The sequence below is a fragment of the Homo sapiens genome, chromosome 10 (assembly GCF_000001405.40).
Source record: "Homo sapiens chromosome 10, GRCh38.p14 Primary Assembly".
Taxonomy (NCBI): domain Eukaryota; kingdom Metazoa; phylum Chordata; class Mammalia; order Primates; family Hominidae; genus Homo; species Homo sapiens.
Window position 1 is genome coordinate 21,703,158 of NC_000010.11, and position 18,221 is coordinate 21,721,378.

Here is an 18,221-nt window from a genome sequence, read left to right on the forward strand (position 1 = left end):
CCTTGAGCATTTCGTGTAGGGTGGTCTAATGGTGATGAATTTCCTCAGCTTTTGCTTGTCTGGAGAAGACTTTATTTCTCCTTCATTTATGAAGGATAATTTTGCTGTATGTAATATCCTTGGCTGAAAGTTTTTTTTTTTTCCTTTCAGCACTTTTGAATATATCATCCCCTTCTATGTTGACTGTAAGATTTCTGCTGAGAAATCTGTTAGTCTGATGGGGGGGTCTTTTATAGGTGACTGGATACCTTTCTCTTGTTTTTAGAATTCTTTGTCTTTGTCTTTAGACAACCTGAGTAAAATGTGCCGTAGAGAAGACCTTTTTGCATTGTTTTTAGGGATCTTAGAGCCTCCTCTATCTGGATGTCTGTATCTCTTGCTAGACCTGGGAAGTTCTTTTTTTTTGAGACAGAGTCTCGCTTTGTCACCCAGGCTGGAGTGCAGTGGCGCGATCTCCGCTCACTGCAACCTCAGCCTGCCAGGCTCAAGCAATTCTTCTGCCTCAGCCTTCCGAGTAGCTGGGATTACAGGTGTGCACCACTACCACCCGGCTAATTTTTGTGTTTTTAGTAGAGACAGGGTTTCACCATGTTGATCAGGCTGGTCTCGAACTTCTGACTTTGTGATCCGCCCGCCTCAGCCTCCCAAAGTGCTGGGATTACAGGTGTGAGCCATCGCACCCGGCCCAGACCTGGGAAGTTTTAATCTAGTATTTTGTTGAGTTGATTTTCCATATTATTGGTCACTGTGTTTTGACTGGGTTATTTCAAAAGACTGGCTTCAAGTTGTGAATTTCTTCTGCTTGATCTAGTCTATTGTTGAAACTTCTGAATACATTTTGGATTTCGATTGTTTTTTGTTTTTTTTTTTTTTTTTTTTTTTGATGGAGTGTTGCTCTGTTGCCCAGGCTAAAGTGACCCCAGTTTACTGCAGCCTCTGCCCCCTAGGTTCAAGTGATTCTCCTGCTTCAGCCTCCTAAGTAGCTGTGATTACAGGCAGGTACCACCACACCTGGCTGACTTTTGTATTTTTGTAGAGATGAGGTTTTGCCGTGTTGGCCAGGCTGATGTTGCAGTCCTGTACTCAAGTGATCTGCCAGCCTTGGCCTCCCAAAGTGCTGGGATTACAGGCATGAGCCACTGTGCCCAGCCTCTGTTTTGTTCTTTTTAAATTCTCTCTCTCTCTCTCTCTCTCTCTCTCTATATATATATATATATATATATATAATTATTACTGAATTACAGAATAAAAATAAATAATTAATTTATTATTCATATTATTCATGTCCTGAATAACCATTCTGATTTCTTTGTATTTTCAGAATTATTTTGTATCGCACATAGCTTCTTTAGTATTAAAATTTTGAATTATTTTTCCAATATTTTTAAAAACTTTTTAATGGTATGTGTTCCTACGGAATTATTGTGTGCCCTTTGGAGGTGTCTCTCTCTCGCTTTTTTTTTTTTTTTGGCTTTTTAATGTTTCCTGTATATGTTGATATCTGTGCATCTGATGTGATAATAGCTTCTCCCAATTTTTTTGAATTTGCTTTCATAGGGGAGAACATTTTATTGAAGATATATCTATGGTGTTGCTTGGGTAGGCACCGTAGTTGTGATTCTGGATGTGTGCAGTCATGTAATCTCTGGATGATTTATTTGGCTTAAACAGTATCAGCAGTGGCTATGATTTTTCTCAGTGGTTTAGGGTGCAATTATTAGTGGAGGCAGTGGTGAAGTTTTGCTGGGGACTAGGATGCCAAGTAGACCAGCCTTTGCACCTCAGTCGTGGACCAAGCATGCCTCACCTTGGGCCCAGGGTGGCATATGCTGGTACTGGTGTTAGTGGGTCCAGGTAGGCTGATTCTTGTGCCTCGAGGTGGAGGCCCATACTTCCTCAGATGCCAGTAGTGGTAGCAGTTGGCTCTGTAGGTTGGACGGTTCTCGGGTCTGCAGCCAGCCAGTGTGGTGTGCGAAGACGGTGGCAGTGGTGGGTCAACCCTCTGGATCCCAGGAAGAGTGCACTTGTATTGGTGGTGGCTACAGTGGACTGGGCAGGCCAGTCTCCAGACCTACAGATGGTACATGCAGATAGGTGCCAGCTGTGGCAGTAGCAGCAGGGTGGGTAGGCCTAACCTCAGATCCCCAGGACAAGTGTTCAGGTGCTAATGATGTTGGATTGCGCTGGGCAGTCCCCTGTACTCCAGACTTGTGTGCTCTGGCATGGGCTGAGGGTGGGGCAAAGCTGGGTTGGTGGGCTTGTCCTCAGGCCCCCTGATGGTATTTGCAGGTACCAGTCATGGTAGGCAGGGGCAGGGTGATCCCTAAGTCACCAGCAGAATGTTCAGGTAGCCGGGGCAGCATTGGTCACACCGTTGCCCTGTCACTGGAGAGCCCAGGGCCATGTTAGTGGAGGCAAGTGTAGGCCAGCAGATGGGGAACACTCATGCATCAGCCCTAGCAGTGGTTCCCCACATCTCAGCCCTGTGTGCAGTAGCCCACACTTTGCTCATTCACGCCTCCACCCTGGGAGCAGTAGCTGGTGTATCTCTTGGCCTTAGTCCTAGCGCTGCTGGGCCCTAGGACAGTGTGTAGCCTGTTGGGTACAAGACTCTTAAGATGGTGCTTTGCTGTTGCTGCTTAGGTCTTAGAACATGTATGGGATACAGCATAAGCATCCTCCCTGTGGCTGTGCTGTCAACACAATCTCCTCGCAGTTCCTTATGTTTATTTCAGAGCCTGAAAGGATCTAGGAGCTCTCCCATGGCTAGGATTGCAGAAGTCCATGTGGGAATGTTGACAGCTGAGGGTCTCTAACCTGTTCTTTCCCTGCATTAGGGAGCCTCTCTTGGCTCCTGGCCAAGCAGGCTGCCTTGCTTCCCTTTCCTTCCTTGTTTTAGGTATTGGTTGTTAGTTTTTTGTTGAATTCCAGTGTTTTCTCTTGGACGATCTATACAAATTGTGGTTACCTTCTAACTATTTTGGTTCTTAGTGGAAGAGACAAATACAAAATGCCTCTAGTCACCCATCTTGAAACCCCTCTCTCAATCCTATTTAATTCATAATAATGAATTCATAATAATGATGGGCACTGTTTGTCAGATGTTTACTATGTGGTAGACAGCATACTGTCTACCATGACTGGTGCCTGCACATACCATTAGGGGTCCTGAGGACAATATTAGTATATGCTTCGCATATGTAAGTTAATCCTTGCCCCAGCCCTGTGAAATTGTTGGTACCACCCTCACTTTATAGATGAGGTATATGAGGTTGTGTGAGGTTAAGTTATTTGCACGAGGGAGCAGGATTTGGACTTTTAACTATTTTCACACCATATTAACCTCTAGGAAAGAATAAGTCATTCAGTCTCTCGGGATGTGGGTTAGGGATAACTTACAGGCTTAATTACTTACTTAGTTAAATATTTCTGAAGACTATTCCATTCACAGTCTTTTTCCTGAATAAGCCACTGGATGGGTACTTACTTGACCTCCTAGGCAGTTTGAAAGTGGGAAATAGGAACTCAGGTTGATGAGCATTATTATTTCTGTCATTAGACAGGTATACTTCTGTCTTATTTACCAATCTTGTGTAATTGCATTGGCTTACTAATAAAAACTTAAGTCTAAACAATGTTCTTCTGGCGTCTACTCATACTGTATTCTTCTCCTGAGATCACTGTTTGTCTCCATCTTTTCACATCTAGTGGGCTGAAAATGCAGCATTTGAGAAGTCACTGCCATCTCTTTCGTCAGGCTCTCTTTCTTTGCTTCAGTGACACCACAGTCATGGTTTTCTTCTTATCTTACTGGTGTCAATTTTCTGTATGAACTCCTCTTCTAGGACCCATCCTTGAAATGTTGGAGAGCCTCAACATGTGGTCCCAGGCTGGCGTTTAAGAAAACTTCCATTCCTCCTGTTCCAGTTTTTACCATCTCAGTAAGGGCACTTTTAATCACTAGCCAGAAACCCATGACTCATTCATCTTCTACCCTGCTACCAAATCTAATTTGTCATCAAGTTTAGATGATTTTTTTTTTTTTTTTTTTTTGAGACGGAGTTTCGCTCTGTTGCCCAGGCTGGAGTGCAGTGGCGCGATCTCGACTCACTGCAAGCTCCGCCTCCCGGGTTCACGCCATTCTCCTGCCTCAGCCTCCCGTGTAGCTGGGACTACAGGCACGCGCCACCATGCCCGGCTAATTTTTGTATTTTTAGTAGAGACGGGGTTTCACCGTGTTAGCCAGGATGGTCTCGATCTCCTGACCTCGTGATCCGCCCGTCTCGGCCTCCCAAAGTGCTGGGATTACAGGCGTGAGCCACTGCGCCCGGCCAAGTTTAGATGATTCTAATTTCTAGATGCACTGCAAGTCCTTGTCCGTGTTCAGTACTACTACCGTCTTTGTCTGGAGGGACATAATTTTTAATCCAGATTGTGAAATAGCCTCCTAAAAAAAAATCTTTGTTTCCACTCATCCCCGTCAGTCCCTTTGCTACATAAGAGTCAGAGGGATGATCTTTTTAAAAAGTGAGTCATACTATTTGCCTTTGGTGTCTTCCTACTGATCTTAGCAAAAATTCAGAACACCTGTACATGGCTTACAAGGCCTTATGATCTGTTCCTTCCCCTCTCTCCAACTTTGTCTTTTACCAGCCTCTCCACAAGGCTTTAGCTGTATTACCTGTTTTTTCTTCTTTCAATATTTCTGGGTCTTTTGGACAAGTTTTTCTGTCTTACTCTTTGTCTAGTTAACACCTACCTAACCTTTAAGCCTTGTCTTAAATATTTTTTTAGACAGGTCTTTCTTGCTTCCTAGTATTTCACTCTTGTGGTACCTTTTTCTCTTCCATTATAGTATGTGTTGGAATTTATATTCATGTATTTGTTTTAATGTTTGCCTTGCTCCTTAAATTGTAAATTCCCAGAGAGCTAAAATCTTGTCTGTCTTGCTTGCTACATTATCCCAGCTCCTAGCCTCATTCCTCATACCTACTGAGTATTTGTTTGATGAAAGGAAGGAAGGAAGGAAGGGAAGAAAAGGAAAGGAAGGAATCAGTATGTCATTGCCACCCTCTGTACCGTTCTGCAGCTTTGTTTCTCCTCCCTATCCTGAACAGATGAATTTCAGTGTATTTTCCTAGAGCTCATGCATTGTAACATTTAGCTCTGTTTAATTCAATGAATGTCACCTTGATTTTAGTTAAAAACAGCATATGACTTAAGATGAAAATAGAGTGAAGTTAAATAGAAAGCAGATACAGAAGAATTTAAGGTGGATGTTGTACCAGTCCTACCTGAGGAGCAAGGAAGTTGAAGGGAATACATTATTTTCATTTTCAAAGAAAGATTTAGAATTTTAAGCTTTCCTGCCTTGATAGGAAAGGAACATTTTGCTCTGTTTTTTTTGTGTGTGTGTTTTTTTTTTACCAGTAAACTGAGTACCAGATATTGTTTCAAAGTGTGATTACTGGATTGCACATTTAGCTGCGTAATTTCGTATGTAAGTATACGTTGATGTAATATAAAAACAATTTAAGTTTTGAGATTGAAGGTCCTTAATCACCACGATTTTGCTTCTCAATATTATTCTTCCAAGATGTTTTACTGCATGTTGTGATGGTAATTGCAACTTTCAAAGTGTAGTAGAGACATTAGAGGACCTGGTAGTTACAACAGTGTACTTTCCTGACTTACAGATACATTTTTAATGAAAGCATTAACACCAAAATGGCCGTAGCTACCATTTATTAAAACTTACTCTGTGGTAGGCATTGCTAGAGCTTTTTTATATGGATATTCTCAAAATCTCACAAAAAGTCTTTAAGGTAGCCATTATCTTTGTTTTATAGATAAGAATAATATGGAGGTTCAGAAGGGTTAAGTAGTTTGATTAAGGGTCATGTAGGTGACAGATCCAGCATTTGAACCCAGTTTTGTCTAAGTCAAAAGCCTCTGCTGTTTCAATTTCAGCATGCTGCCTCCAGCTAACTTTTGTTTTCTAATTTTAGAAATTGGAGACTCCCTGTGTAGTACACTTTTCACCCCCAAAATAACTAATCAGCATTTTATCTGCTTTTTTTTTTTTTTTTCCTTTTTTTGAGATGGAGTCTTGCTCTGTCGCCCAGGCTGGAGTGCAGTGGTGTGATCTTGGCTTATTGCAACCTCCGCCTCTCAAGTGATTCTCCTGCCTCAGCCTCTCGAGTAACTGGGACTACAGGCATGCGCCGCCATGCCTGGCTAAGTTTTGTATTTTTAGTAGAGATGGGTTTCGCCATGTTGGCCAGGCTGGTCTCAAACTCCTGACCTCAGGTGATCCACCTGCCTCGGCCTTCCGAAGTGCTGGGATTACAGATGTGAGCCACCGCATCTGGCTGCAGTATTTTATTTTCTAAGATACTCTGAAAACACTGAATTCAGTAGAAACTCAATATTTGTTGAATTATCTATGGAGTAGCAACCTTTAAAAATGCATATCTTTTTCTCTGCTATGTATTATTTGGAATATAAAGTTTATAAATAATCACTGCATTAACATGCTGTCTCTTTTCTGGCCCTCTTAGCCAAACTTGTTTCTTTTTCTTCCTTTCCTTTCTTTTTCTTTTTTGGAGACGGTCTTGTTCTGTCACTGAGGCTGGAGTGCAGTGGCACAATCTCGGCTCAATCTCAACCTCCCAGGCTCAAGCAGTTCTCCCACCTCAGCCTCCCAAGTAGCTGGGACTACAGGCACACACCACCATGCTTGACACCACACCCAGCTAATTTTGCATTTTTGGTAGAGATAGGATTTCACCATGTTGCCCAGGCTGGTCCTGGGCTCAAAGAGATCTGCCCACCTTGGCCTCCCAAAGTGCTGGGATTACAAGCATGAGCCACTTGCACCAGGCCATTCCTTTGAAATTCTTAGAGCAGTTTATAAGATTCTCTATCTTAGTTTTCTAAGTTTGCCCTTTGTGATCTATTTTTGTTTGTTTACCCTTTAAATGGTAATGTTATTTAGGGTTCTGTCTTTGGTTCTCTTCTCTTGATCATGCTGAGAACTTTCCCTGGGTGATTCCATTTTTGTTCCTTGGCCTTGACCATTGTGTTCATATCAAGAGTTGTAAGTAAAATACTTATGGGGCCACATAGGTAACATAAATGAGTGACATGGTAAGGGATGATGGAGATGCTGATGGATTAAAGTCTCTATGCCCTGTTCAGAGCTCTGGTCAGATTGTTGCTCTTTTATAATATAGTATCCAGTGTTGGCAAATCTTCAGTTTTTCAAGAGATATTAGGCATCTAGAGTTCTTAATGGGAAATTTCTTATTTCTATAATAATTATGAGCAACTGGTTAAAATTTCAACCATAGTGCAGACCAATAGTAAGTATTTTTAGTTTGCAGGTTTACTTACTGTAACTTACCATGCTTCTCACTCCTAGATTTATGTCTTCAGATCTGAATTTCCTGCTGGGTTTTAGGCTTATCCCATTGTGTTCTATATGTAGGAGTTCTGTGTCCCACAGGCATCTCAAAGACCATGACCCTGAACCTCTTAATTTGTATTAGGAAGTGATTTCATTTATAGGATACCTGTGAGTTTGAATCATTATTTCACCACCTACTAGCTCACCAAAAAAGTTACTTTATTTCTTTAAAGTTCTGTTTGCTCATATGTGAAATGGGAGTAATATTTACCTCATTGAGTTCTTATACTAGCACAGTTACTTCCGTACAGTAACCAAACACTGCTTTCAGTTGCTGTTCCTGTTTCAGTGAATGGTATCACTACATGTACTTACTTATGCTTAAGAGTCATTGGTGACTCTACCCTTGTTTTTATTTTTCAGGTCTAATTAGTCACCAGGTTCTATTGGTCTAATAGAATTTTCAGGTCTAATTAGTCACCAAGTCCTTAGAATTTATCCTGCTCTACTGCATGTTTCTTCCTCAAACCGTCCTTCACCTCTGTACTGCAGCCCCTTTAGAAATTAGCTTGAGAGGCCAGATGTGGTGGCTCAAACCTGTAATCCCAGCACTTTGGGAGGCCGAGACGGGCAGATCACCTGAGGTCAGGAGTTTGAGACCAGCCTGGCCGACATGGTGAAACCCCATCTCTAGTAAAAATACAAAAATTAGCTGAGTGTGATGGCACGTGCCTGTAATCCCAGCTACTAGGGAGGCTGAGGCAGGAGAATCACTTGAACCCGCGGGTAGAGGTTACAGCGAGCCGAGATTGCACCACTGCACTCCAGCCTGGGCAACAGAGCAAGACTTCACCTCAAAAAAGAAACTAGCTTGAGGCTGGGCATGGTGGCTCATGCGTGTGATGCCAGCACTTTGGGAGGTTGAGGTGGGAGGACCACTTGAGCTCAGGAGTTTGAAATCAGCCTGTCAGCATAGTGAGACCCCATCTCTTAACCCACCGACCCCACAACCAACGCAAAAAAAAAAAAAAAAAGCCAGGTGTGGTGGCATTCGCCTGTGGTCCCAGCTACTTGGGAGGCTGAGGCAGGAGGGTCGCTTGGCCCAGGAGGTCAAGGCTGCAGTGAGCTATGATTGCACCACGGCACTCCAGCATAGGTGAGAGAGACTCTGTCTCAGAAAACAAACAAACAAAAGATAGAAAAGAAATTAGCTTGAAAAGCAACAACATCTCTTCCAGTAAGTTTTTTGGCTCACCACTTTTCTCACTCCAGGTCTGAATTAGATACCTCTTTTTCTGTGCTCCTAGCCTCCTGAGGATGTCTCTGTCATAGTGCTCTCCACAACTGTTTGTAATGCCTTTTTTCTACGCAACTTCTTGAAGGCAAAGACTACCTATCTTGAATGGCTTTTTATCTCCAGGGCTTAGAATAATGCCTGGCAAATAATGAGTTCAGTGATGTTTGCAGAATGAATGCATTGGCTAAATATATCATTTTTCTGGAGAAATTGTAGATATAAAAAAGATCCCGACGCCTTAATTATAGCTGTAAGGCTTTTTAAAATGTCCCAGTTGTTTTGTTTTCCCTGTTTGAATAAGATTCTAGGTGCTTTAATTTATTATATAAGTCAATAACTTCATTTATTTATTTATTTATTTTTAAAGACAGAGTCTTGCTTTATTGCCAAGGCTGGAGTGCAGTGATACAATCACGGCATGGTTCACTACAACCTTGAACTTCCAGGCTCAAGTGATCCTCACACCTCAGTCCCCAAGGTAGCTGGGACTACAGGCATGTGCCACCATGCCTGGCTAATTTTTATTTTTTGTAGAGACAATATCTCCCTTTGTTGTCCAGGCTATGTTGATGTTTTTTTGGAACAAAGTAAATTGTATGTTGATACAAATTACTGATTATTGTTGTCCTCTAGGGCTACAGTTGCTAATTTATTTATTTATTTCTTTTTTCTGCAGCCCACTTAGGTTCATTCTTTCCTCCTGTTTCTGTACCTTGGTTTCAGGCTCTTTTTCCCCTCTTGCCCTCCCAAGAGCTCTGGTTTATAGCAAGTTTTCTCGGCCTCCACACTATTAACACTATGGGCCAGTTATTTCTTCTGGAGGCTGTCCTGTGCATTGTAAGATGTCTAGTAGCATCCCTGGCCTATACCCATTGGATGCCAGTAGCACCCTCCAGGCTTGATAACTAAAAATGTCTCCAGGTATTGTGAAATGTCCCTTGTGGGGCAAAATCACCCCTGGTTGAGAACGGCTGGTTTATAGATATTCCCATTTCTTTATCCTGAAAGCCTCTCCTTCTCTATGCTGAGCATGATTTTCTTTTTTTAAAAAATAAGCACTTTTAAAAAATTAACTTGTTTCCTGTTAACTTATGCTCATCCTCCCACCCTCTTTTCTAGAATGAATAGCTTCCACCATTTCCCACCTTATTTCTGGCTTTTATCCCCATGGTGCCTCTCAAAGTGTTTTCATCAAGTCTCCCATGATTTTCACCTCCTGTGTTCTCTGGAGTAAATGGAGCTGCCAACTCATAGCCCAGTTCATCATGTCTTAATCGTTCCTCCTCTCCTACCCCTGCAGCTGCCCCATACAGTCAGTCACAAAGTCCTGTCTGTGTTATCGCTGGAATGTCTCTAGAATCTACCAACATTCTTTATTCCCACACCTGTCTCCCACCAATGTCATCAGCTCCTCTTTTGGTCTCGGAATTTCAAGTTGGGCCTGTTCCATTTTAATTTCTACCTTGTCGGCTTTCTAGAACAAGGTCTCTTCCTACTTCAGACTTCCTCAGTGATGATTTCTGGGGCTTTAGCATTTGCCTTTTGGAAGGCCCATTAGGTGATTTTTATGGAACTCTAATTGCTTCATTCCTCTATTTAAGAAACGTTTTCTTGCTCTTAGAAACTCCTAAAATCCATGACATATTTTTTACAAAGCTCTTTCTGCTATCCCCTGCTTTTAACAAAAGCCTTTTTGCTAAATAAAAATGGTGTAGGTTCTTTTAGACAACTGCTTCATGAGAAGTCAGTGTTTATTTGTTTAGTTACTAGCACAATATTTTTTAAACAGCAACAATAAGATTTATAATTGGAGGAGGGATCCAGGAGGAAATGCAAGTTTACTGATTATGTGTGTCTGTGACAAATTTGACTGCTAAGTTATATTTAAATAACATTTGTTTTTTTGCAGGTATTTATAACAGCAATGATGTAGCAGTATCGTTTCCAAATGTAGTATCTGGCTCGGGATCTAGTACTCCTGTCTCCAGCTCTCACTTACCTCAGCAGTCTTCTGGGCATTTGCAACAAGTAGGAGCGCTCTCTCCCTCAGCTGTGTCATCTGCAGCCCCTGCTGTTGCTACAACTCAGGTAAGTTGTTACACTATCATGTGACAGGTAATAGGTGGGTTTCTCATTTTTAAAGTGAGTTTTGTTGGAGGAGAAACAAATGACATAGGGCCTTCTATAGGAATTTATGAAATACCTCAATTTGTATTAATGTATTAGTGAAAATGATAGGTATTTTTACATGGTATTCATGAGAGAGGATGGATGAGTGTATGGGCACCAACTAATTCTTTTTAATTTCTGGGTTTTAAATTTTGTCTGAATGATATAAAATATACTTTCAGGGGAGCTTTTATTCTTTCTTTAAAAAAGTAGGACCCACAAAATATGAGCAAGTTTTGGACTCTTGTGATTTTTAAAATTCCTTTTATAATTTTTAAAATTACACAAAAAATATATGAAATCTTTTTAAAGTTTTAAAAAAAACCGTGTAGGAGAATGTAGGTTAAAAGACCGAATGACCGCTTCAAGCACTACACATTTTTCCTCCTAGTGGGAGAGAACAGTGTTTGTAAATAATGATGAATATATAGGTTTTTCCATTTGTGTACCCCTTTTATCTGACTTCAGATTTGTAGTTTGATAGGTGACCTAGTCTATAGGATTTTTTTGTTTTTGTTTGAGACGGAGTCTCACTTTGTCACCCAGGCTGGAGTGCAGTGGTGTGATCTCAGCTCACTGCACCTCTGCCTCCTGGGTTCAAGCAATTCTCCTGCCTCAGCCTCCCGACTAGCTGAGATTACAGGCACACGCCACCATGCCTAGGTAATTTTTGTATTTTGAGTAGAGGCAAGGTTTTGCCGTGTTGGCCAGGCTGGTCTTCAACCCCTGACCTCAGGTAATCTGCCTGCCTTGGCCTCCCAAAGTGTTAGGATTACAGGCGTGAGCCACCAAGCACAGCCAAGATGTTTTAAAAGAGTCATATAAGAGAAATTGTAATCCTGTTTTATAAAGAGGACAGTGCAGGGGGAAAGCTGTACCCAATCCCCCTGTATTACACCCCCCTTCCCCAAAGATAATCATTTAAGATTTCCAAAGTATTTTTTTTATTTATTTGAAATTATGTATGATTTTATTTTCATTTCTCCAAAGCTCTAGTAGTCTTTTAATGGTCAAGAAAATGGTCACAGGGACAAATGTCTAATAATGAACAACTAGTTAAAATAGTTGTTTATAAGTTCCTGTCAACTTGAGCTTTATGGATGCGTGCATAATTTCCATTGCGTGTGTTGTTAGGATATATATACGCTTTTCCGGCAAGCACAATGTTAGGTTATTTTGATGCATTTGTGTGAATGGCACAGTGAGAGCAGTTGCTATTAAAATTACGTATTAGAATCAACCCCAGATAGTTCAGCACAGAAAAGCAATGGCATGATTAGTAGTATCGTCTTTGAAGATGAAAGTGAACTATTTGGTGAACCTCCCAACTTGATATAGAGGAGTTTGACTACTTTAGCAGAGTTTTTCTGTAGTTCATGTCACTAAAAGTGAGGTAGCCATAACAGGGGTTTGGGGTTAGAGAGGGTGAAAGGATAAATGAAAGAATAGCTCCTATAAATGGTTTTATCTCTTTTTAATTAAGTGCAACCATATGCTGTTGATAGTTTTATATCCTTGGACAAAGTCTCACATGAACATTTTCAATGTGCATTTCTCTTTTCTGTCTTTATAAAAGTCTGTTTAATTACCCTCTGGTTACTTCCCGGCTGAATTAAGTAAAAATCCCCATTTCTTCTCATTCATTATGTCTGTGAGCCAGGGGGTTGGCATTAGGGAAGTGGTAGAGAAGAGAAGTTTATAGCTAGAGGGAAAATTCCACTTGACATGTGACTCAACTGAAGAACAAAGAAATCATAGTTGTAAGTAACCCAGGATTCAGTTCAATTAAAATCTTTACTATTTATCCCCTCTCCATGTTTCAGAAAGATGGGTCTCTTACAAATGTGATCATCCAGTTAGATTTACATGCTGTGTACTGAGATACCTACATCTATGTTTCTGTTCAGCAGTAAATGCTTTCTGTCTTCAAGCTGAAGCTTATTTAGCCTGGCTTATCTGGTGCTGCTGTAGCAACCATCAGTCTCCAGGCAACTGAGGCACGTTGACCTCTCAGTTGAACTGAGTGCTGAACTACTTCAATTTAGCTGCCTGAGACAATAGTAATGGTGTTGAATGTGAAAAATGTGAAATTTTCTAGGCAATGTGCAAAGGAAAGGATACAGAAATATTTAGATAGAATTGATAGGACTCTTAAAATTGGGGATGCACTTAGCAATTGAATCATTTTTTACAAAACGACAAAGTTTATTCCTGTTTCACTCTCATATAGACCCTGTTTGTTTTCAAGTCTTACATTAGTTGTGTTTAGATAGTCACATCTAGTGTTTTATTTAGGGTTGCTCTAAGTAGTTGATTTTAGAGCAATGCAGTAAGATAAATGGGTGAATAAAAATTATCAATATTTAAAACGTAATTCTAGGCTGGGCGTGGTGGCTCATGCCTGTAATCCCAGCACTTTGGGAGGCCACGGTGGGTGGATCACCTGAGGTCAGGAGTTCAAGACCAGCCTGGCCAACATGGCGAAACCCTGTCTCTACTAAAAAATTCAAAAATTAGCTGGGTATGGTGGTTCAAGCCTGTAGTTCCAGCTACTCGGGAGGCTGAGGCAGGAGAATTGCTTGAACATGGGAAGTGGAGGCTGTAGTGAGCCGAGATCATGCCACTGCACTCCAGCTTGGGCCAACAGAGCCAGACTCTGTCTCCCCAAAAAAAAAAAAAAGTAATTCTAGAAGTCTTACCACAACTGTTAAGAAAACCATCATACTTGCAAGCAAAAACTTTAATAATAGTGATAGATGATGGAAATATTAAACTTGAATAACATTTTGTGCCCCCACACCCTTAACGAAAGTAGGAGTTTTTATTGATTGGATTGGTGTCAGCAGGATAAAATCCAGAGGTCATTTTTGCTTTTTGTGATATACATTTTAAGTAAATAGACCTCTACATTGCCTTATTTGGTATCTTAAGAACTGTTCCCTGGGCCGGGCGCAGTGGCTCACACCTGTAATCCCAGCACTTTGGGAGGCCGAGGCGGGTGGATCACCTGAGGTTAGGAGTTCGAGACCAGCCTCAACATGGAGAAACCCCATCTCTACTAAAAATACAAAATTAGCCGGGCGCGGTGGTGCATGCCTGTAATCCCAGCTACTCGGGAGGCTGAGGCAGGAGAATTGCTTGAACCTGGGAGGCAGAGGTTGCGGTGAGCCAAGATCACGCCATTGCGCTCCAGCCTGGGCAACAAGAGCGAAACTCCGTCTCAAAAAAAAAAAAAAAAAAAAAAAATTGTTCCCTGGAAAGTGGTCAAGGAGATAAGATTGGGAAGGGCTAGTAGAAGTTAAAAACTTAGAATAACTTGAAACTTGATTTGTGCTGGGAAAAGGAGATACTTGTAAAATTGGCGGGTGGGGGGTGGGGAGGGGAGTCTGATAGCAGCATACATTTTGGGGAAAAAACCTTTAAAAAACTGTTTGATTTTATATTCTTATATTCCTCCTCCTCCTCCTCCTCCTCCTCCTCCTCCACCACCTCCTCCTCCTCCTCCTCCTCCCTTCTTCTTTCTTCTTCTTTCTTCCTCTTCCTCTTCTTTCTTCCTCTTCCTCTTCTTTCTTCCTCTTCTTCCTCCTCTTCCTCCTCCTCCTCCTCCTTTTCCTCCTCCTCTTCCTCCTCCTCTTCCTCCTCCTCTTCCTCCTCCTCCTCCTCCTCCTCTTCCTCCTCCTCCTCTTCCTCCTCCTCCTCCTCCTCTTCCTCCTCCTCTTCCTCCTCCTCCTCCTCCGCTGCTGCTGCTGCTTCTTCTTCTTCTTCTTCTCCTTCTTCTTCTCCTTCTTCTCCTCCTTCTCCTCCTCCTTCTCCTCCTCCTTCTCCTCCTCCTTCTCCTCCTCCTTCTCCTCCTCCTTCTCCTCCTCCTCCTCCTCCTCCTTCTCCTTCTCCTTCTTCTTCTCCTTCTTTTCTTCTTTCTTCTTCTTTCTTCTTCTTTCTTCTTTTTGAGACTACAGGTGCCCGCCACCACGCCTGGCTAATTTTTGTATTTTTGATAGAGATGGAGTTTCACCATGTTGGTCAGGCTGGTCTCGAACTCCAGACTTCAGGTGATCTGCCCACCTTGGCCTCCCAAAGTGCTGGGATTACAGGTGTGGGCCACTGCGCCCGGCCTCTATTTTATATTCTTAAGTGTTAAACCCTTTTTTTTTTCCCCCTTTCAACAGACTAGTTTTTAGAGTAATGGCTCTTTCACAAATAATTGATAGGAAGCCTGCTTTACTACATACTAGTATATTAGTAATAGAGTAGTTTCTTAACATTGCGGGAAGAGCGGACTCCTGTCCATGTGACTGTTAATCATGGATCAGGGTAGAGGTATAAATTAGTTTCTGTAGGAGTGTCATTAATTTTTCATTTTGCCTTTCAAATCCTGCTGTTTCCTAGTTCTGCAGTCATTCTGTACTGTCTTTGGGAGAATGCAGGTGCTTTTTTTTTGGTTTGAAGGATGATTTCTTTAGTAGAAGAACTTAAGACTGAATGCAATGAAACATAATTGCATTCCGTTACATCCTACTTTCTGAGTTTTGCGTTTGAAATACAATCTTCATGTGATAATCATGGCTTCTTGTCTATCCCATGTTACTGTTAAACAAAATGATGTAGACTTAACATTTAAAGTAAAATAAACTTCCAAGGTTTATTTATGTGATATTTAGGAAATGCAGATATTTCGTGTTTTTGTTGTTGTTTGTTTGTTTGTTTTTTTGAGACGGAGTCTCACTCTGTTGCCGAGGCTAGAGTGCAATGGCACGATCTCGGCTCACTGCAAACTCTGCCCCTGCCAGGTTCAAGTGATTCTCCTGCCTCAGCCTCCTGAGTACCTGGGACTACACACGTGCACCACCACGCCTGGCTAATTTTTGTGTTTTTGGTAGAGATGGGGTTTCACCATGTTGGCCAGGCTGGTCTCGAACTCCTGACCTCATGATCCACCCACCTTGGCCTCCCAAAGTGCTGGGATTGCAGGCGTGAGCCACCTCGCCTGGGCATATTTCTGTATTTTAAACATACAATTTAGTGACTAGAGTTTTGCAGATTTCTGTGACACTTTCATCTCAATTAGCTTCGAATATTTTGTTTTCCAATATGATTATGTATGTGTGTGTTTATGTAGGGGAAGTTGTCTAAGATGTAGTCTCCGATTTCTTTTCAGATGATGTCTAATAAGGACACTTTAATTCTGCTTGAGAAAATGGTTTCGTTTCTCAGGCAGATTTAACTGACTTCTGGGGTGATATTTATGTTTATACTTAATTAGTCAGAATGTAAATTTCTTCTGATTTCAATAATATAATGACTTATAATTTTAAGGGAATTACCTTTCTGAGGAAAATCAGTTTTCATAACCTTGGTAACATCTCTTGTTACCAGATGATGAAAAGGTTCAGTCACAGTCACATATCTGTAAGTCTGGAATTAAGACATGATTCCTTAGCCTGCTCTCTTATTACTAATTGTTACTGTTAAAATGAATTTCCCAATTATGTACTTCTTATGCTAAGAGGTATCTCCTTGGAAAACGTTGTTAGTAATTTTACTGTGTTCATTTGTGTGATGCAATGCAGAAGAGAGAAATTTGAGTCAGCAAAAGTCCTGGGTTCCAGGAGTTTTGCTACTCACTTGTATAACCTTGGGCAGGTCTTTTAATTTTTGTGAGCCTCAATGTTTCCATATGTAAAATGGGAATACTTTAAGTACCTGTTCTACCTGCTATACAGATACTTTATGAGGTTCAAATGCAGACCATAAAATACTTTAGAATTCATGGTTATTGACTTCAACTGTTACTCTTCAGCCTAATTACCAGTGAGAAATTGTACAGGAACACTTCCTGTATTGGAAATAGTATTAACAATTTCTGTTAAAACTCATATAATTCATGCTAACATAGATAAATGAATTTTAGCCAGTATATATATTCAGCTGTGGATTAAGGTCTTTCCCAGTTCCAAAATTATTTCAATAGCTGCCTTTGTCCTACAGTAATTTTTTCCCAGAAAGGTAAGAGCTATATTGATAAGATATTAACCAGTTAAGAAACCTACTTAGAATTTGTTGGTTAATCTATACAGTCCTGTTGTCCGATCATGAGTGTTCAGTGATGGTTTAACTACACTTCATTCCCTCCTGCTACTTTATGGAAACTCAATTGTGGGGCATTTTGGCATTAGCCTAAACAATGGTTTTGAATACGTTAAGCTCCTAACAATTAGGGAGCAGTTTGGAGCATTGAATAATGTGGAATGATGCAATTGAACCTGACAGCTTCAACAGTCAGCCTACTCATGGGACCTGAAAGTTGTTCACACTTGGTTTCACCTCTCATCACATGCTGAGTATTGAAGCCTTACTGGCGGTAGCTGACACAGAAATGGGTCTGCTATCAGAATATGTTCTTAGTAAATATAAAGTTTGAATTGATCTGGAGAATATGTGAACCTTTCAATTGTTCCCTAATCCATGTCTAATGTTCATTCATGTTTTTGCTGGAAACTTTTCTAATCAAATATATTGTGTTCCCAAATTCAAACAATAATATAAATTGGATCTAGAAACATTCAAGTCCTTACATTCTATGTGCAGCATTGCTATATTATCAAATACATAGTTTAAAACATTACTGCATAATGAGGCATTTATGCTATTTAAGTTTTCTTAGGGAAATAGGTTTTAATCTTTGAAATATAGCCACAGTTCAGAATATAATTGGTAAGTTGTATTTTCTAATAATTTTAATGGAAAAATAGAAACCACAATAGCTTGTGAAAATAATTTTTAAAGTTAAGCTAAAATATGAGCGCTTACCATGTGTCAAGCATTTTTTAAGCCCTTTGCATATATTAACTCAATTCTCACAGTGTTCCTATGAGGTAGATACTGTTGTTATCCTCATTTTCCAGATGGAAATTGAGGACAGAGAGGTTTAATAATTTACCCAAAGTGAGATAGCTTGGCTTATGATATATATGGTGATAATAAAATGTTTTTCCTCCTGAAAGTATATACGAATTAGGAATTTAAAAAGTAAATACTGAATTTAGTGAGCCTGAATATTTTTGGAAGATTGCATTTTTAATCATGTGTCAGGGCTGAAAAGCTTGAAGCAGCTAGTTTAGAGCTTTTTTGAATCACTTGACTTTAATGTTTATTGACAGGTTAATTGTGCATTAAAAAAAATGCTTGCTATATATAACCTGTTCCTGTATGATTGAAGTATGAAGTTTCAGATCTATCTCTAGATGATACATTGCTGTTAATACAGTGCTTTCCAAAGGTGAAATATTTTCATCGGTATTAGTCTTTCGAACCTAATTTTTCTTATTATTCTGCGCTTATTAACATTAG

At 40.6% G+C, this 18,221-nt stretch overlaps 1 protein-coding gene across 4 annotated transcripts in view, besides 3 other annotated features; it reads left to right on the forward strand.

The window, feature by feature from the left end:
* MLLT10 (MLLT10 histone lysine methyltransferase DOT1L cofactor) overlaps positions 1 to 18,221 on the forward strand; it is a 209,875-nt gene that overhangs the window by 169,402 nt on the left and 22,252 nt on the right. For 3 of the 4 annotated variants that reach the window (NM_001324297.2, NM_004641.4, NM_001195626.3), the window contains one exon: positions 10,615 to 10,793. In NM_001324297.2, coding sequence (NP_001311226.1) covers positions 10,615 to 10,793 — 179 coding nt within the window. Of the gene's footprint in view, positions 1 to 5,430; positions 5,501 to 10,614; positions 10,794 to 18,221 lie in introns of all 4 variants that reach the window. The other variant, NR_136736.2, reaches the window with a different exon arrangement.
* Positions 7,819 to 7,918: an enhancer, noted in NCBI's record as "active region_3122". NCBI's record gives its function as "activates an Ori minimal core promoter by ATAC-STARR-seq in GM12878 lymphoblastoid cells {active_cell/tissue: GM12878}" and the evidence as "EXISTENCE:reporter gene assay evidence [ECO:0000049][PMID:35858748]".
* Positions 7,819 to 8,388: a biological region, named in NCBI's record as "H3K4me1 hESC enhancer GRCh37_chr10:21999974-22000474".
* Positions 7,888 to 8,388: an enhancer, noted in NCBI's record as "H3K4me1 hESC enhancer chr10:21999974-22000474 (GRCh37/hg19 assembly coordinates)". NCBI's record gives its function as "activates a minimal SCP1, AML or CMV promoter by ChIP-STARR-seq in naive H9 embryonic stem cells {active_cell/tissue: H9 hESC(naive)}" and the evidence as "EXISTENCE:reporter gene assay evidence [ECO:0000049][PMID:30033119]".